The 18,947-nt window shown below is 48.4% G+C and overlaps 1 long non-coding RNA gene across 1 annotated transcript, besides 2 other annotated features; it reads right to left on the bottom strand.

Annotated features, from left to right (window-relative positions):
• Positions 2,355-2,551: a silencer, noted in NCBI's record as "fragment chr21:42513074-42513270 (GRCh37/hg19 assembly coordinates)". NCBI's record gives its function as "represses an EF-1alpha promoter that drives an FKBP-Casp9 reporter gene in an ReSE screen in K562 erythroleukemia cells {active_cell/tissue: K562}" and the evidence as "EXISTENCE:reporter gene assay evidence [ECO:0000049][PMID:32094911]".
• Positions 2,708-9,272, bottom strand: LINC00323 (long intergenic non-protein coding RNA 323). The gene is made up of 2 exons (NR_024100.1): positions 9,170-9,272; positions 2,708-4,623 (listed from the first exon to the last, which is right to left on the bottom strand). It is a non-coding gene; the product is annotated as a long intergenic non-protein coding RNA 323 (long non-coding RNA).
• Positions 8,602-9,186: an enhancer, noted in NCBI's record as "NANOG-H3K4me1 hESC enhancer chr21:42519321-42519905 (GRCh37/hg19 assembly coordinates)". NCBI's record gives its function as "activates a minimal SCP1, AML or CMV promoter by ChIP-STARR-seq in naive H9 embryonic stem cells {active_cell/tissue: H9 hESC(naive)}" and the evidence as "EXISTENCE:reporter gene assay evidence [ECO:0000049][PMID:30033119]".

Raw genomic sequence — 18,947 nt, forward strand, 5'->3', positions numbered from 1 at the left:
TGTCCCCTGCACCACATCCTTCCCGAGTCCCCTACTACCTCCACTGCCCCTTTGAGGGCTACACGGCTGCATTTGGCATCTGCACATGGGATCCCCTGCATAAGAAGGAGCTGCCACTCATCTGAACAGCACAAACAGGCCACGGCAGGATTCCTCACATCTTCTGAACCTTCACACTGCCTTAGCGGCAGTGGCTCTCCAAGGCACCCGCTCATGGAAAGGGGCCCTGTGTGATCCTCAAGCACCCGGGGTCACCCAGTCCTTTCTCCTCAGTTTATGGGTACACCAGCCTGTCTGAAGCCCAGACAGTCCACAGGCATCCAGAGCTTAGCAGGTCACTACTCAAACTCGTCATGATGATGCCCATTCTGTAAATGAGAAAATGGAGGGAGAGGATAAAGAACTGGCCTAAGGTCTCAACCGTTGTTCATTGTTGAGTGCAAGACTGAATGCCATAGCCCTTGACACCACAGCTGCTTTCTCCTGCTCTGTGCTAGGAGGCCACAGCTGTCCATACCCCAGGACACTGACCTACACCAGTGCATGTGACCACCGCCACATGAGATACTGCCTGCCTCAGGAGTCACTGTGCTTCAGAGGACACCTACACTTGCACACACCACAAAAGCTCACACATGCATTCACAACACACGCAACACACATGCACACACAACACATGCACTCACAACACACATGCAACACAATACACACACGTGCACAACACACATGCACACTTCTGCACACACCACACATCATACATGCACATACACAACACAACCATGACCCCAATACACAGCACATATGCACACATGCGCATACATACATGCACTCAGCACATACACATACACACACGGCCCCCACAGAGGTTTTGTGCTTATGCTTATGACCCAGAGACTATTCAAGTGCATGTGGGGTCCATGCAATTTCTCCTGGCCACCTGCCCTCCCTCCCGCTCCCACGGCTTCCTCTCTACTCTCTGGAAAGCAGCTGTGGTGTCAAGGGCTATAGCATTCAGTCCTGCACTCAACAGTGAACAACGGTTGAGACCTTAGGCCAGTTCTTTATCCTCTCCCTACATTTTCTCATTTACAGAATGGGCATCATCATGATGAGCCTGCAATAAAAAATTCACGCGATGTTGCTGAGACCCTCAGTGCACTTCCACACGGGCGCGCTTGCTCCTTCAACGATTGCCGCCTCTGTAGCGCATCAGATCCCACTTCACAGGGCAGGTCTCAGGAGATGGGTGCTGCGGGCACCCCGGGTTGGAGCCAGTTTCCCAAGGCAGAGTGCTCCTGGGCTACTGCTTGACTGATGAGCACAAACCCCGGGACAGGAGGGAGGGACAGGGGCAGAGCGAGGCTGCAGAGAGGCCGATTGTCAGTGTGGACTCTGCAACAGCCTGTGCGATCCCAGGACAGCACCCTGGAAGGCTTATAAACCTCTCAGGAGCATCCCTTGGGGAGTACACCCCCCTTACCCCACCCAGTCCTCAAAGAAGGCCACACTGCATGGGAGTGGCTCTGAAGAGGGCCCTGTGTGGTGACAGCAGGGAAGCCCTGGGTGGGAGGCAAGAGGGGCAGGCGTGAGCAGGTGGCGCACTGTCGGGTGCACACGTGCGAAGCTGGTCAGATTCACCCCAAAAGAACACAAGGTACAGAAGTGCCTCGAGGACCTGAACTGGGGCAGAAGAGGCTCTGCTACACCCTTGTTTCCAAATCAAATCATCATCCCTGCGGAGCCCTCTGGCTGTCCGTCCTTTGTTTTCTTTCTTCTCTTGACTCCTGTTACCTCCGCATTTCTCAACTCTTATGGGGAAAGTTTGGACTTTTGAGGATACTGTTAGCCCAAAAAGCATCCTTTCATTCTGCCAGAGAAATTGACCATGCTCAGCATGCTGGGTTCCATCTGCAGAGCCACTCACGCTCCCGGCCTGGTTCCACGCCCAGCAGTGTCGCTGCTGCCGCCATGTATTCTGTTGCTATCGTTCCTGTAGTTGTCAGCACTGTGTTGTGTTGCTGTTTGTGGTGGTGGTGGTGGTGGTGTTTGAGTCCTGGGATCACTGCAAACCCCAGAATTCTTCAGATCCAGAGCTTGCTAGAATTTGGAACAACTGAGTCTGCCATATCCCCTTGTTCCCACAGTATCTAGCATGTGCCTGACACATTGTGAATGAGGATTCATTGAGCAATGTCCCTGGGGGATAAATATCATTAAATTGGAAGCAAATAAAAAATGGTAGCAGACATCCAACTCACCTATTTATGGGTGACTCCCAGGCATGGAACTGGAAAGCCCCAAATTCCCATGGCATGCAGAGTATGCACCATGAGGAACTGGACAGAGCAGGAAGTTTAATGTGTTGGATGCTGCCCAGCAGGCTGCATCCTGCTTGGTGTGGGTGAGTGACACTTGCCACTGGAACTTTTCTTGACCCAGAATTCTTCAAACATTCCATTGTGGGAATGGCTGCTTTTGATTTCCCTTATGGCTTCAGCCTGGATTAAACCCGGGTGGGGGTTGTTATCTGCACAGGGAGCCAAGAGTGTGGGGCCACAGGCAGAGGCTGTGCAAGGAATTGGAAGTTCCTTGGCCATCATCTGTCGGTTGTGGCTTGCATGGATGGGCTGGCCAGGATGTGGCCCCCCTTGTGCCACAGCTCCCCACCCTCTGCCAAAGAAAGTCAGGTTCACAGAGGCATTTTTTTGGTCTTGTTTCATTTATTGCTGAATTCCTGGGCCCTAGACCAGTGTCTGGCTAGCGCATGTTGAATAAGTCATTCAATCAATCAATCAGTCAACTGGAGACTTAGATGAGCTAAGAATTAAGCAGACCAAAATTTTTGGCTGCCTACTTAATATTGCAGAATTAATCAAAACTGGTTTTTACTGTGTTCATTTTGGACACCTCTATGTAATCTCTCTCTGTCTCTCTCTCTTTCTCTCTCTACCCTCCGCCACCCCTCTCACAAAAACAAAAACACTACCCATTCACTCCTTGAATTATAGGAGGATATGGGAATTGGGATGAAAAATTCCCCAATACTTATAAATTCCTTCCTGTTCTAGTACCACCATCTCCAAACATCTCATTGGGGGCAAAAAAAATAAAATTTAAAATTGTGTCTGCATATGAAACCTCTCAAAACCGAAAAGAGAAAACAAGGATTTTTCCCTCTCTCTATTTTGAAATTGGCTTAAAAAGGAGTTTGAGAAAATCTTGTCCATCTGCTGCCCAGCCTTCACTCTGCTGAGCATTGCTCAGTCAGGGTTACATGAAGCTGAAGAAATAATGGAAAGGCACAGAAAACCTCATCCCAACCCACACCGCTAAGCATTTTCCAAAACAGCACTCTTGCCAAATGGGCTTTTGGCTTCATCCACTCGAACAACTTTCTTGCTCACTGCTAAGAGGAGGCGTTTTGGCAGGGAAAGGAATGCATGGTGCGAGTCTGACATTCCATTCCAGTGGAGACACAGGGTAAGAGACAGGTGACGCTACCTAGTGTCCTCTGTGCAGAGCGTTCCTCCTGCCACACACTCATCCTCCTGTCAGCCAGTTCCAGCAGGCAGCTGCCTCTCTGCCCCACACTGCCCCTAGCAGCTGCTTGCTGATGGATTCATTTCACGGATTGTGTGTTTAGGGCATGCGGTCCGCCAGGCACTGTGGTAAGTGCTTGATGTATATGAACTCTATACAACCTACAAGGTCGGTATTACTGTTCTGCCTGTTTTACAGATGAGGAGGCTGAGGTCCAAGTCAGGGACCTTGCCCAAGGCCACACGGCTGGGAGATGTCAGAGCCAGGATCCCTCCTGGGGCCTTTTGGTTCCAGCTGTGGGCTTCCCCCGCACATGGTGCTCTCCCTCCTGTGGCCGCACCTGCCCGTATCTCGCCCCTCCAGAGCCCAGGTGGCCACAGAGCTGATCTGACCAACCCTCCTCCTGAACAGGAGTTGGAAGATGGTCTCCAGAACCCACCCCAGCCCACCTGGGGCCTTCCAGAACCCATTCCCTTCCATTTGCCATTTAAACTGGAGGGCAAGGGCTCTCAGAGGAGATGCTTCTGGCTACTTGAGACCAATACACATGCATCAAAGAGCCAGTACGTGCCAGGCTCCACCATGGTAAGTGTTCTCAGCATGCTGGAAAACCTTGGACAATTCCTTCCCTGTCTCTTGCTTCAGTCCGAGGACCGTTGAAAGACTAAGCTGGGGCTGGGAGCCACGGAGGATTTTCTGAGCACACTGGAAAGCCCGAAGGTCGGCCCAGGGTCTCATGGGGAATATTCAAGAAGGTTCAGGGTCCCATGTACCCAGTTTTACCGCTGTTGGTTACCACTAACATTTGCTTTGTGGGCCATTTCAATATTTATTTGGTTATAAATGCCCACATAAGTAGCTCTCGGCCCCAGGGCACCATGACCTTTGAAGCACTTGGTGCTCGGTGTTGGAAAGCAAACCAGAGAAGATGGTCAGTGACGTCTTCATGTGGAGAAAAGAGAAGGGGAGGATGCATCTGAGGCACTTCTGGAAAGAAAGCAGGACGGGAAAAAGAGAGCTCCACGTCTTGAATATAATCAGGGACTCGGGACTCCGCAGCATGACCTCTACAGGTGACCTCACCTGGGAAAGAAAGGACGTGGCTTGAATCAGTTGTTTGCAACCCTGTCTCTCCCCCATAAAACTTCTCCATCCAAAGAAATCTTACTCAGAAGACTGTCTCAGACCTGCCTGTGGGAGGATTCTCTCGCTAGCCAGAAAGTATAGGACCAATGCCCGCTGGAGATTTTACCATTTGTTTTCTCCCTCTCACCTGTGCCCAGACACCCATAGGGTGACCGACCTCTGCCCTACGGGGATCCTGGCAGTCCCAGCAGCCCAGAAACCCCCATCCAGGTGCCAGGGTCAGAGGCGCAGGAATGTGTCACAGACTCCTGGCATGACAACAAGTGTCGTGGCCGAGACAATGGCCAGGCTGCCTCTGCTATGAGGCAGTGCGTGTTCTTGCATCATTATGTGTTCCCCCAGAACAGAAACGAGGGGCTGGGGCTGGCCCTCAGACACAATTCTCCTATTTACTTCCTGGGGCAGCCATAACAAAGCACCACAAGCTGGGGGTGCTTAAATGACAGGAAGGTACTCTCTCAGCTGGGGATCCAGCATCTAGATGTGGGCAGAGCTGCTCCTCCTGAGGCTCCTCCTAACTCTGGTGGTTGCTGGTGATCAAAGGGCCTCACTGAGTTCCCTCAGGGGTGGAAGGTGCTCCTCAACAGGCAGCAGGACCTGCCTCCCAGGGCTCCCCAACTCTCCTTAGCAGGAAGAGGCATCATGAAAGTGGGCTCCCATAAGTGGCCCAAGTGCCAAGCCCTGGGCGCCATGCTTGTGCAGGACAGTGCATTTCCTCTTGTTGATCTGTGAGGGAAGGATGACACGCCCAGTGTACAGAGGAGGAAACTGAGGTCCCAAGAAGCCGAGAAATGTTACTCAAAGTCCCACAGTTAGACAGGATTGCTCAAGGCTTATTTGACTTCCAAGTCCTTGTTCTTCCTACAGCACCAACCTGCCATTTATAATATGATGCTGAATGCATTTCCTCCTCTAGAGGTTGATCAAAACTAAATCAGGAAATCAGTGGTGCCTACAGAAACCAGTGTTTATGATTCACATCTTTCAAGGCAGGAATGGGAAGCAAATGCTTCTGGGGGATCGCGATGACATGGAGGTGAATTCCTCCAGCAAATGTGATTGTGGAGTTACCGCGTGGTGAGATAAGTAGGGGAGGGCATCTGGGTTAAAAATAGACATTAAAAAATGCTCCCGAACACAGTTTGGAGATTGAAGGTGTACAGGAAACTGGGACACTGATCAAGCCCCAGTGGGACAGACTATTCCGAAGGAAGCCCGGAGGAGAACCATGACTCCACCTGCCCCCTTCTGCTGGAGGAGTAGAGGCGTCCTGGCAGCTTCACTCGCTCAGGCAGGATGGAGGTGACATAAATGTTTCCTGCACCAAAGCATTCAGAGCTAGGTTAGGAAAGTACAGACAAGAAGAAAGGACAGCAGTCACAAAACTGGCCTTTCTAGTTCTTCCTTAGATCTCATAGTGAGCTCAGTAGCAACTGGGGTAAAGTAGGTGCTCCTACTTCAGCAAGGACGAATCATAAGATGACCCCATCCCATCACCGAGTCCCCTCATTTTCCACCTTTCTCTCACTGGCTCCCCAATCCCAAGTGTACCTCTGCTCCAACATCCACCCCTCCTCACTTCCACCTTTAGCGCCTACCTGAGTGGATCTCGCTGGGCCTGTGAACCCCTCAGCCACAGGTGCTGTTTCTCCAGGGCCCTCCATGGGGTCCTGGGCTTTCCAGGGCTCCTCATGCCCTAAGCCTACTGAGGACAAGCCTCCAGGAGCTAACTGCACACAGTGCTCCCACACTCTGGATAGACAAGGTGTTGTGGTCTCTGTCTAGTACCACAGGTCATGAGGCTGAGACAGTTTCATCAAGTTCAAAGACAGGCACTGATGATTTGCTTCTGTTACCCTGTGAGATTTAAATGACAGAATCATGTGGCTACTCTCATTTTTTCCCTTCCCTTCCCTTTCCTTTCCTTTTCTTTCCTTTCATTTCCTTTCTGACACAGGGATTTGCTGTGTCACCCAGGCTGGAGTACAGCAGTACCTTCTCTGCTTATTGAAGCCTTGATCTCCTAGGCTCAGGTGATCCTCCCACCACAGCCCCCCAGGCAGCTGGGATTACAAGTACGTACCATCACACCTGGCTAAGTTTTTGTATTTTTCATAGAGCCAGGGCCTCACTATGTTGTCCAGTACGGTCTCGAACTCCTGGACTCAAGCAATCCTCTCACCTCAGCCTCACAAATTGCTGGGATTACAAGCGTGAGCCACTGTGCCCAGCTTTTTTCTTTTCTTTTTTTTCTTTTTTTTTTTTGGACAGAGTCTCATTCTGTTGCTCAGGCTGAGTGCATTGGTGTAATCATGGCTCACTGTAGCCTTGACCTCCGGGCTCAAGTGACCCTCCTGCCTCAGCCTTCTGAGTAGATGGGATTACAGGTGTGTGCCACCATGCCTGGCTTTTTAAATTATTCTTATTATTTGTATAGGTCTTGAACTCCTGGGCTCAAGCAATCTACCCACCTCAGCCTCCCAAAGTGCTGGGATTACAGGTGTGAACCACCATGCCCAGCCCTCATTCTCATTTATTCTGAGAACGTGAGAAATTGTCCAGGAAGCCCTCCCTTCCTACTCATTAGGTGAGGTCACATTCTGCCACCTGCCAGACCCACTCAGCTCTGTGCGCAGTGCCACGCCAGGCCCACTGGAGCTGCCCAAGACTGTGGTCAGCCTCTCTGCTCCCATGGAAGCAACTGGAGAGAAGAGTGAGAAATATGAGTCAAAAAGTTGTGTGGCGACGTGGGGTGGGGGATCCTTTCCTGCAGGACATGAGAAAAATGGATGGTGAATGGCAGAGTTTGAGGAGGACCATATGTAGGCACTTGTCTTTCTGTATCTATGTCAAAAAAGCATAATTTTAAGAAAGAAATTGAGTTCTGTCATTTTAAAAGTCGGAAACTTTAATCAAACTCTACCTCTGCTATCTACCAGGTATTTGCAACTCTGAACAAATTATTTTGCTTATATAAGCCTTTATTTCCTCAACCTGTAAACTTGAGATAATAAGTCTTGTTTCCCTCACCTCAAAAGGTTGCTGGATGAGCCTATTATATTGGGAATTAAATGTAGGTTTGGTTTTTTCTGGCCAAGTATAAAGCACTGTAAAAATGCAGGGTATTTACTCTTGCCCTATGGTAAAGAGAAAATTAAAGTAATTGGTGCTATTATATTCTACTCCTAGCTTTTGTGAAAGATTTAGTGTAGATTATATAAACTCTTAAAAAGCTTTATTGTATGTTGATCAACAAAAACGTCTGTTTGAAAGACGTGATGCCTGAAAAAGTAATATGTTTATTAAACCTAATAAATGCATCTGTATAAAAGCATCCAGATTCTACCATTTTCAAGGGACTGTTGCAAAGATCCAAGGGCACCGTGAGGCTGCAAACCTCCTTGAACTCTGAAAAGCAATTCACGTATTAGTTGTGGCTGATATTATGATGAGTGCAAGCTGCAGGCAGCAGCGTGGCCAGCCCTGAGTCCACCAGAGGGAGACGAATCACACCACTGGAGGCTCAGGGGAGACATCAGCTGTGAGGGGGCAGCAGGATGATTGCCATGAAAGGGAGGACAATGGAAGAGAAGGGAGGAGATGGACATGGGGTTGGGAGAGCCACAGGGACAGAGAGCATGGAGAGCCCCAAGCAGAGAGTGGCAGAGGGGCACTCAGAGACACCCTCACCGCCCCTGGTGGATACCGTTTAGCTCCCTCAAAAGACGAGGAGCGCTTGAGCAGGGAAGGGGAGCCCCCAGAAGCATCCAGCCCAGCACTGGTCGGGAACTGGAACCAGCCGCTGAGGCTCCCGTTCTACCCCAGGGCACTGACAAGTCACGAGGCTGCAAATCCTAGGTATTTACCCACCTCACTTCCTGGTCTTTAAGATTGCAGCTGCCAAAACCTTGTCATCGTCCTACGATTGTTTTCAGGGGTTTCAGCTCGACTACTTTAATGCAATGACAGTGTCACATTTATATCCTGGAACCCATCCAGATGCTCTGGAGGCCAGAACACCCTGCCAGGAGAGGATAATGAAGCAGATGACACCTAAGAGGGTTGCAGGCCCAGCTGACAACCCCCTACCCCAGCCTGAGTTGGCAACCTTTGGACATAGTCCTCAGCTTGGGGGCAGAAGAGGCTGCTGGGGCCCCCTGAGGTGCTGTTGTCTTCTGAAAGCTTCCTCATTCTGGTTGTGCTGAGCAGGGAGGTCAAAGCCTCTTACTCCAAAAAGTCAGCAGATCATTAGTCTAATTAGCATAATAAAGCTGGCATTTTCGCTTGGCTCTGAGCCTGGAGTTAAGTAGCTTACAGTTGTGCAGGGTGTGGACTGCACAACCCAACGGTTCTCATTCCCATGGACTTGCTAGACATGGCACCCCCCAGAGGCTGTTCAGTGTCCAGCTTGTTTAACCCTGAGCAGGGTCTGGAAGTTAGGGACCTACAGGCTATGGTGGTGTAGGGAGGAAAATGGGCTTACCTGCTAGTGAAGACTGCGGGAGGTCAGTGTTTAGGGAGGAAAGAAAATCAACAGGAAATGTGGAATACGCGTTTCTTCCACTCTGTTCTCCAGGATTTTCATTCCTTGGCCAGTTGCTTCCGGGAATTTATTCCCTTGTCTGGAAATACCATCTCTCTGTTGTTCCTTGAAAACAAAGAACAGAAACATAAGAGAAATCCTTTCATTACCTGGTACAGGGCTACCCATGGACACAATGAGGGGCCTGTAGGAGCAAACAATGGGGGATTCATTGACCCCACTGAAAGAAATACGCACAAGCAGGCGAACCAACCCACATCTTTTTTGTTGTTGTTGTTTATTTGTTTGTTTTGCTTTCACAATATTCTAACCGGGAAAAAAGCAAGTTTGATTCACAGGAGGAAAAAGCGGTTGGAGACTTATGCAAACTGTTGTGATATTTGCACCCATATTCTAAAAAGGAACCCCGTGCATGCCGACCCCTGCCCACACAAGCAAGGGGGTCTGGAGAAAGTGAGCATTTGCCATGAAAGCGGCAAGGAGGGTTTCTAAGATGCGACCTGCTTGCAAACCAGCCCAAGCTTCACTGCAATGTTCTTTTCAACTGTTTCCACCATTCTGAAGGTGGATGGCAGATGAGACCCTGGCCAGTCTCTGCAGCCGTGGAGACAAAAACTACAGGCTCAAGAACAAGGACTGGTGCTCAGTGAGAACTGCCCAACTCTCCCCAGCTCCCCCAAACCCGCTTTGTCCATTAAACAATCGGGAAACGGAGAAAAATATTTGCAGACACAATGTGGTCTGAGGTTGATACATTCTTATCTAGAGTAGATTCATCTTGGATAAACAGACACTGTTCATTTTCCTAAGACACAGGGCATTTCGTGCAGGTTCAGTGACAGAGCGGCTGGCTGTTTCTGCAAGTGGGGGTGCGTGGAGAGGGAGATGCAGAACAGTCGCGTCCCCACTTCTGCAAGCTAACTGGTTGTGCTTCTCGAAAAGGCTACCATCCCCGGGAGACACTGCAGCTTCCCCTGTGAAAAGGAACCTCACTATCCCAAAATGGCACCAAATGCTCAAAGACAGTGTAGGTGGGTCAGGGCAGCCCCACCCTGCCGCTGCTGCGGAGCGGAACGAGCTTCCTCTTCCTTCTAAGATTCAACAACTACTCATTGAGCATTTAACCAGTTTCTGCCACTTGCCAGTTGTGCCTCAGTTTCCTCATCTGTAAACAAGGGTGACAATTGTTAGATCTGCCATGCATGATGTTGCGAAGATTCAATGAGCTGATACTGTAGCTGCTTAGAAGAAGCCCCGGTCAACACAGGGCTGTGGTGAAGATTCAATGAACTGATACTGTAGCTGCTTAGAAGAAGCCAGGTCAACATGGGGCTGTCACGGAGATTCAATGAGCTGATACTGTAGCTGCTTAGAGGAAGCCCAGGTCAACATGGGGCTGTGGTGAAGATTCAATGAGCTGATACTGTAACGGCTTAGAAGAAGCCAGGTCAACATGGGGCTGTCATGGAGACTCAATAAGCTGATACTGTAGCTGCTTAGAAGAAGTCCAGCTCAACATGGGGCACATGCGCTGTCAGCCTCTATGACCACTTGCGGCATCCAAAGGCCCTGTGCCACAAGGTCAGAGCATGGGATGTCATGGGACAGAATTCCAAGCATTAATCTGTGAGTCTCCTTTGCCCTCCATATGCTTTCCTTCATAGCATCCCAGGGGCTCCTCTTAGGAGGAAATGAGAAGCAAAGGCTGCAGATGCTCACATCGAGTGTTCTTGGAAAGGCTGTTGACCTGAGCGCCAGGGAGATAATTCCAGATGCGGGCACCATTGGGGTTGGTTTTCTCCTCCCTCCTGGTGGGGATGGAGGGCACAGGATGCAGGTGAGGTGAGGACCGGGAGGACAGGGAGTTGTTTGAGAAAAACCTGCCAGGGTTGATGAGCCCTCCCTCAGTCAAGTAGTCTTGGGGAAACTGAGTCAGTGTCCAGGGGTTCTGCTTGTGGCTGGCTTCATGGGACCACCAACCAAAAGCAGCCAGCCATAGTCTGTGTCTCAGAAAATGTCCAGCCCCTCTGGCCATTCCACATGGAAGCCCCATCCAATGGTACTGGAGAGTCACCAGTCCTCCAGAGCACAGGTCGAGGCAGGGGGACTTGACGAGCAGTCTAGGACAGCCGGGGACCAGCCATATGCCTCAGGGGCAGCAGCGTGACACAGCACCTGTCCTGAAGGTGCTTGGGGCAGGACCAAGTGAAAGCCTGCGTGAGCACAGGGGGGCTGGTGTGAGAGCAGATGCAATGCGGTTTATGGCTAACGAGCCATCAAGAGATACTGATGTGTATGGGTGTGCTGTGTATGTGTCTGTATGTGGTAGTATGTGATGTGTTTGTGTGGTATGTAGTATGTATTGTGTGTGTGTAGCATTGCATGCGCAATGTGTGTGCCGCGTGTGGTGTGCAATGTGTGTGCCATATGTGTGGCGTGTGTGATGTGTGTGTGCTATGTGTGTGGTGTATAGCGTGTGTGTCCTGTGTGCTGTTTGCTTGTGTGATGTGTGGTATGTAGTGTTGTGTGGTGAGGGAGTATATATGATGTCTGTGTGGTGTGCAATGTGTGTGTCTGGGTGTGTGATATGTGGTGTGGTGGGGGAGTATATATGATGTGTGTGTGGTGTGCGATGTGTGTGTCTGAGTGTGTGATGTGTGGTGTGTAGTGTGGTGTGGTAAGGGAGTGTATATGATGTGTGTGCGGTATGCAATGTGTGTGTCTGAGTATGTGATGTCTGGTGTGTAGTGTTGTGTGGTGAGGGAGTGTATATGATGTGTGTGTGGTGTGTGATGTATGTGTCTGGGTGTGTGATGTGAGGTGTGTAGTGTGGTGTGGCGAGACAGTGTGTAAGTGTGATGTGTGCTTGTGTGTGTGGAGGTTGAGTGTCTCCATGTGTGTGTGTGTGATGGGGGAGAATGGGGTCTCTGAGCTTGGGGTGGTCAGGGAAACCTTCCTGTGTGCACCAGGACCTGGTGAGGCTTCTCCAGCAGGAGGAGAAATGGAACCCGATATGAGCAGCTGTTGGGGAAAAAAGCCCAAGATCACTTTCAACAATGCAGTTGTGGAGCACAGGTCAAGGCTTGGAAGAATGGAGGATGCCACTACCTGAGTAACTAAGGAATGTTTCCTCATTTGTGGGGTGGTCACGGTGAAAGTACCTTTGGGTTGTTGTGGGTTAGGAGAACCTAACTGCTGCAGCTGTCACATCTGCTACCCAGAAAGGGCTCTGAAGAGTTGCTACTGAAGCCCCTGATGATACTGTTCATCCATCATACCCTGCAACGTCGTTATTTTAATATTGTAAGCTATTAATGCAGTAAAATACTTTATTCAAGTATTGAAATCATCTAAGCTTCCTATTCCCTAGAGATGCATGAATAACAGAGCTCTGATGCTTATTTAAGTTTGTATAGGATTTTACATTTTGCAAAATATTCTCAAATACAAAATCATCTCATATCAGTTACCTTCCCCCACCACTGCCAATTAGTCTCTGGCTAGTGATGTAACCCTTATGTACCCCAGATTCCTCATCTGTTAAAATCAGGTTGATGGGAGGATTAAATGACTTAGTAAAGGTAAAGCGTTGGCATTTGTATACAGTAAGTGCTCAATAAATGTTAGCCAGCAACAATAAGTGTTGCTTCTCCGGGTAAGTTCTCTGCTTTACCTGAGATGCTTGGTCCTGGGGTTCCAGAGTCAGTCACCCTCATTGATAGAAGACAGACATGAAAGTGGGCCTGAGAACATGCAAAGGACATAAAAAGGAAGAAAGGAGAGAGAAAGTGAGAGAGGGAAAGAGTGAGAGAAAGAGAGGGAGAGAGAAGGGAGAGAGAGAGAGATTGAGATTGAAGGCCAGTGAGGTCATGTGCAGAAAAGATAGCCAAGATCACCAAACCACGGATGGCCCCATATACATGCAATTTCCATTTTCCTCTTCTGTTTTCTTTCCCAGCAGAATTTGCAAGCATATGGAAGTCAAGACCTAAGCCCAGTATCTTCCTGTGTTGTCTCTGGCTGGAGGGACAATAGAAGATCATTTAACCTGAATGTCCACATTGAGATCTGTTCATACTAACAGCACTTTCAGAATTGTATATATTAACAGCCCCATTTTTTATAGATATGGTAGCACAAAATATTAAATATGGAAAGTGGGTGTATTAGTCTGTTCTCATGCTGCTATAAGGACATACCTGAGACTGGGTAATTTATAAAGGAAGGAAGTTTAATTGACTCACAGTTATGCAGGACTAGGGAGGCCTCAGGAAACTTAGAAGGGGAAGCTAACACTTCCTTCTTCACATGGCGGCAGCAAGGAGAAGAATGGGTGCTCAGAGAAGGGGGAAGTCCCTGATAAAACCATCAGCTCTCATGAGAACTCACTCACAAGAGTGAGAACAGGATGGGGGAAACTGCCCCCATGATTCAGTTTTCTCTACCTGGTCCTTCCCAGGACACATGGGGATTATGGGAACTATAATTCAAGATGAAATTTTGGGTGGGGACACAGCCAAACCTTATCAGTAGGCATAGGAAGAAATAAGTGGACTTAAAAGAATTATGCCTTAAAAAAACAAAATACCCTGTAAATCAACTGGGTTTACATGAACAAATAAAAGAGGAGTTACACAAAATCCTATGTATTTAGTGACAAAAGACAATGAAAAAATTGTGTTTTCAGTCTTCTGTCCCAGATCAGAAGTTTGAGGGCCTGCTCATTTGAAAATGACTTTTTAAAACCCATGAAGTTATTTTTAATGGAAGTCTTACTTATTAAAGATTCTTGTTGCTATCTGCAGATCCCAAACAAGATTCTTTGGCGTCCTCAGCTTGCTCTTCTCCCTTTCCTTGGTAGACTTTTCTCTTTGTCTGTACTTCAAGTGCCTCCTGCCAAGTAGAAAATGAAGAGTCAGTCCGTGTGCTGGGCTCAGAGCCCTGCCGTTTTAGTGGCTTCATGGATGGCTTGGCACAACTAGGGAGCAATGGTGTCTCCCACACCTGAGATGGACCCTGTTGGACTCAGAGTGGCCAGCAGGATGTGGGTTGACCCCAGTAGCACATTAAGCTCAGCCCAGAGTGGCAGGAACTGAGGCGGCCAGGAGAATGTGCAAGGGCCACCCAGACTGTAGGACAAGCTAGGAATCCAGTAAAGAAGAGGGCCCTGGCAGTTCCTTTGGAATCCCTGTGATTCCTTCTTTCATTCATGGCTTCATTCATTCAACAAATATGTATTGAGCACTTGTGACATGCCACCTTCTGTTTTGGGTATTCAGGATACATCAGTCAACAGAATAGGCAAAGATTGATTGCTACCCTCGTGGAGCTTATGTGCTGGGGAGGGAGGTATGCAGGGAGACAGGGCACAGTGAGATGGTGAAAGTCCACAGCAAACACAATGAGCCATCCATTTGTGTGGTCTGTTATAAAATGATTAGAGCTGTGGAAGGACAGAAGAAAGGAAAGAGGAAGAGAGGGAGGGAGGAAGGGAGGGAGGGACAAATGGAGAGAAGGAAGGAAAGAAAGACAGGGAGGGAAGAAAGGAAAGAGAAAGAAAAAGAAAGAGAGAGAGAAAAGAAAAGAAAGAGAAAGAAAGGAAGGAAGGAAGAGAAAAGGAAAGGAAAGAAAGAAAAGAGGGAGGGGGAAAGGAAGAGAAGAAGGAAGGGAAAGAAAGGAAAGGAAAAAAGAAAGGAAGGCAGGCAAACAGGCAGGTAGAAAGAAGGAAGAAAAAAAGGAAAGAGGAAAATGAAAACCATAGGGAGTCAGGGAGTGCCTGGGCCAAGGCAGGGAGGAAGGGGCCTGGCTGTGACTGGAAATGGGAGGTGCCCTCTGGGCAAGGACTTGAGGAATTGTAGGAGTGTTCGTCCTGGAGCCATCCAGCAGGTAGCCTTCCAGGTAGAAGTAAGGGGCTGCAAGGAGGCCTTAAGGGTACAGCCCACCTGATCATTCCCCAGAGTCGCAATGAGGCTGGAGGCCTGAGGGGCTGGAGCAGAACAGATTGCAGTGGGAGAGCAAGGGGGCTTATGGACCACAGAGGGCCTCAAGGACCACTGTAAGATGCAGTCCCATGGGAACCATTGCAGGCTTTTAAACAGAGGAGGGACACTCTGTGCCATATTTTAACAAGATCACTGGGGCCGCTGGGCAGAGAACAGACCATGGGGACAAGGGTGGAGGCCAGAGACCTGCTGGAGGCTGTGGCAGGTGAGGGAGGATGGGAGCTGGGGCCAGGTGGCTGTGGAGAGGTGAGAAGCGGTTGGTCAGTTTCTGGTAAAGGTCGAAGGTAGATCCAGCATGACTCCTGACGGCTGGATGTGTGGTGTGAGAAAAAGAAGAGTCAAGGGTGTCTCCAAACTGTGGTCTGAACAGCAAGAGGGACAGATGGGACCTGTGGCTGAGGTGAGGAGGATGGCAGGTAGGGAAGAGAGGGGATGACAGAGCAGAAATTCCATGTGGATGCTGTAGAATCTGAGATGGATGTGAGGAAAGCCCAGTGGACTATCAAAGAGGCAGAGGGTATAAGAGTAGTGGGCATTCAGGAGAGGTCTGAGCTGGAACTAAAACAGATGAGATATTTTGAGTCATGATTGAAATGTGGGTGAGATCCCCAGAGATCAACAATGGACGGGGCGCAGGAAAGAACCAGGGACTGCACCCTGGCATCTCCAGCACTAAGAAGTGGAGGAGAAGAGGAGGAACCCACAAAAGAACCTGCGAAGGAGGGACTCAGAGGAAAGAGAAAAACCAAGAGAAAGACATTGCAGAAATCAAGAGAATGGAGTTAGAGTGGTCAGCACTGCATCAAATATTGCCAAGGGTTCAGGTCAGATGGGGACTGGGGTTTGAAGATGATTCCAAGTTTTATTCAAGAACTAATATAAAATACTCCATTCTGGAGTTTGCAGCCAAAGATTTTTTTTTTTTTTTTTTGAGACAGTCTTGCTCTGTCGCCCAGGCTGGAGCGCAGTGGTACAATCTCGGCTCACTATAACCTCCGCCTCCTGGGTTCAAGTGATTCTCCTGCCTCAGCCTCCCAAGTAGCTGGGACTATAGGCACGTGCCACCATGCACAGCTAATTTTTGTATTTTTAGTAGAGACAGAATTTCACCATGTTGGCCAGGATGGTCTTGGTATCTTGACCTCGTGATCCTCTGCCTCAGCCCCTCAAAGTGCTGGGATTACAGGCCTGAGTCACCGTGTCCAGCCCAAAGTCCTTCCTTGGGTTATGGAAGCTTATTCCCAGCTTGGTTTCCATCAAGTTCAATGTCCAATGAGGTGGCAGCTGAGACTTGAGGATATGACGTGTTTACCTTTGAACTTTGCGTACAAAATACCCCAGCTGAAGGTCCCTCACAGAGAGTTTGGAAAATAAAAACACTACGACCATCACATTCCCAAGCAGAAGGAAAGACAAATTCATGAGCAAATCACCACATTCATAAACAGAAAGCCACCAGCCTTCAAGAAGAGATAAGGCAAGGCTGTTCTCATTTCATGGGACGTTGTTACTGTTCTACTGTTCATCTCTATAAAGTATAGATACATGAAAGTATTTTTTTTCAAACGCAAATAAAAGTTCTTCTCTTAAATGAAAATAACCTAAAAACAGCAATAAAGCCTAAAAGAAATGTGCTGCCCTCAAATTCTTCCTGACGTTATACCACGGATCTGATTCTCCAGGGCTGGAATCCAGTGTTTCCACCCAGGAGGGGCAAGTTCCTTCACTTCCCTGGGTGTTGATGGTCTCACTTATAGGTTGGGGATAGCACCCACAATCCACAGTTCCTTAAGAATTTTTTGAGACTGAGTGATTTGTGGCTGGTAAACAGTAATGAGGATGATAGTGATTACCTAGCTTTAAACAGATTTCCCAAGGAGATAAGTTTCTACCAAGGTTCTTTGCCTTGTCAGAAAGCTCCAAAGGCTGAATGGCGGGCGTCCCAGCTCCCAGATCCCCATCCTGATAAAACCCTGGTGTGCCCACCCCGAGTTTCCCAAGTGACTCCAAAGAGAATGTTACCCAGAGGAGAGCAACTGGCTCCCAGATCTGTAGGAGAACTTTTGACATTTTCTCATCATCATGCAAGGGACTGAGGCTCTTTGCAGGATATGGATGGCTCAAGGGAACTAATAGGAACAGTGGCGTGTGGTTCCAATCCCACGTCTGCAGTTTAAAAACAAATGGCTGCAATTGCATTGTGTACACAGGCCTACATCCTCCTCTCTGCTCCGGGGAGAAGAATAAAGGTGTGACTTTCTTTGTTAAGTGCTTTCTTCCCTACCCTGGAATCAGCCTCCACCCACCTGAAAGGGAGGGAAGAGGAGGAGCCCCAACCTTCCAGAAGAAAAAGCAAACAAATTCCACCCTCCAAACCCAACCCAACCCAACCCAACGCTAGGAAGCCAGGTTCCATTTGTGTGGCTTAGCACAGAGGGACACCACCCCAGCTTCCGGTTTAAGTTTATGTAAAAAGAGTTTAAAAATATGTCTGAACCTATATTATCCCATCACCATCAGGAATAGTAATTAGTATTAATTAAAATAATACCCAGTGACTAGGGCTTAAAACGTACCAGCTTTATGTGAGGTGATTGACATGTATTCCTACCTAATTTCACAAATATTTGATGAACTGGGCCCTATCTCCCATTTAACAGAGGAGGAAGCCAAGGTGTGAAGAGTGGATATGGTGTGCTGGGGAGCACACAGCTGGTGGATCCTGAGTAACAATGCAGTCCTTGGGGTGACCTCCCTTCCCCCTCCCTGTTAAGCTCTCTCCCACTCTCCACCCCCAACCTCTGCTCTCATCACACGCCAGCCCCACCCACACCCCGGCCAGACTCTTTTTCTTTTTTCCTTCCCTTTTCCCTCTCATTCTTACCCTACTCCTCCAACTCAAAGAGTTAGTTGACGGCTGGATGTGGTGGCTCACGCCTGTAATCCCAGCACTTTGGGAAGTCAAGGCGGGTGGACTGCCTAAGCTCTGGAGTTTGAGACCAGCCTGGACAACATGGTGAAACCCTGTCTCTACTAAAAAAAAAAAAAAAAAAAAAAAAATTGGCTGAGCGCGGATGTGGGCACCTGTAATTCCAGCTACTTAGGAGGCTGAGGCAGGAGAATCGCTTAAACCCGGGAGGCGGAATTTGCAGTGAGCCGAGATCATGTCACTGCACTCCAGACTGGGTGACAAAGTGAAACTCCATCTTAAAAAAGAAAAAAAATAAAAATAAAATTAAAGTATAGCACGTACAATTATATACAGCATGTAATACTTGGTAATAATAATAAACAACTATTTTACTGATTTATCAATTTGCTATACTTCTAATCATTATTTTAGAGGGTACTCCTTCCAATTATAAAAATAAGTTAACTGTAAACAGCCTCATGCAGGTCCTCCAGGAGGTATCCAGAAGCAGGCGTTGTTATCACAGGAGACATTATCGCCCCTGAAGACCTTCCAGTGGGACAAGATGTGTAGGCAGAAGACCGTGACACTGAGAATCCTGACCCCATGTAGGCCTAGGCTAATGTGTGTATGTGTCTTGGTTTTTAATGAAACAGTTTACAAAGTAAATAAACAAAATAAAAAATTTTTTAAATGGAGAAAAGTTTATAGAATTAGGATGTAAAGAAAATATTTCTGTACAGCTGTATAATGTGTTTGTATTTTAAGTTATGATTATAAAAGTCAAAAAGTTAAAAATAATAAA

The sequence above is a fragment of the Homo sapiens genome, chromosome 21, assembly GCF_000001405.40.
Source record: "Homo sapiens chromosome 21, GRCh38.p14 Primary Assembly".
In the NCBI taxonomy this organism is placed as follows: Eukaryota; Metazoa; Chordata; class Mammalia; order Primates; family Hominidae; genus Homo; species Homo sapiens.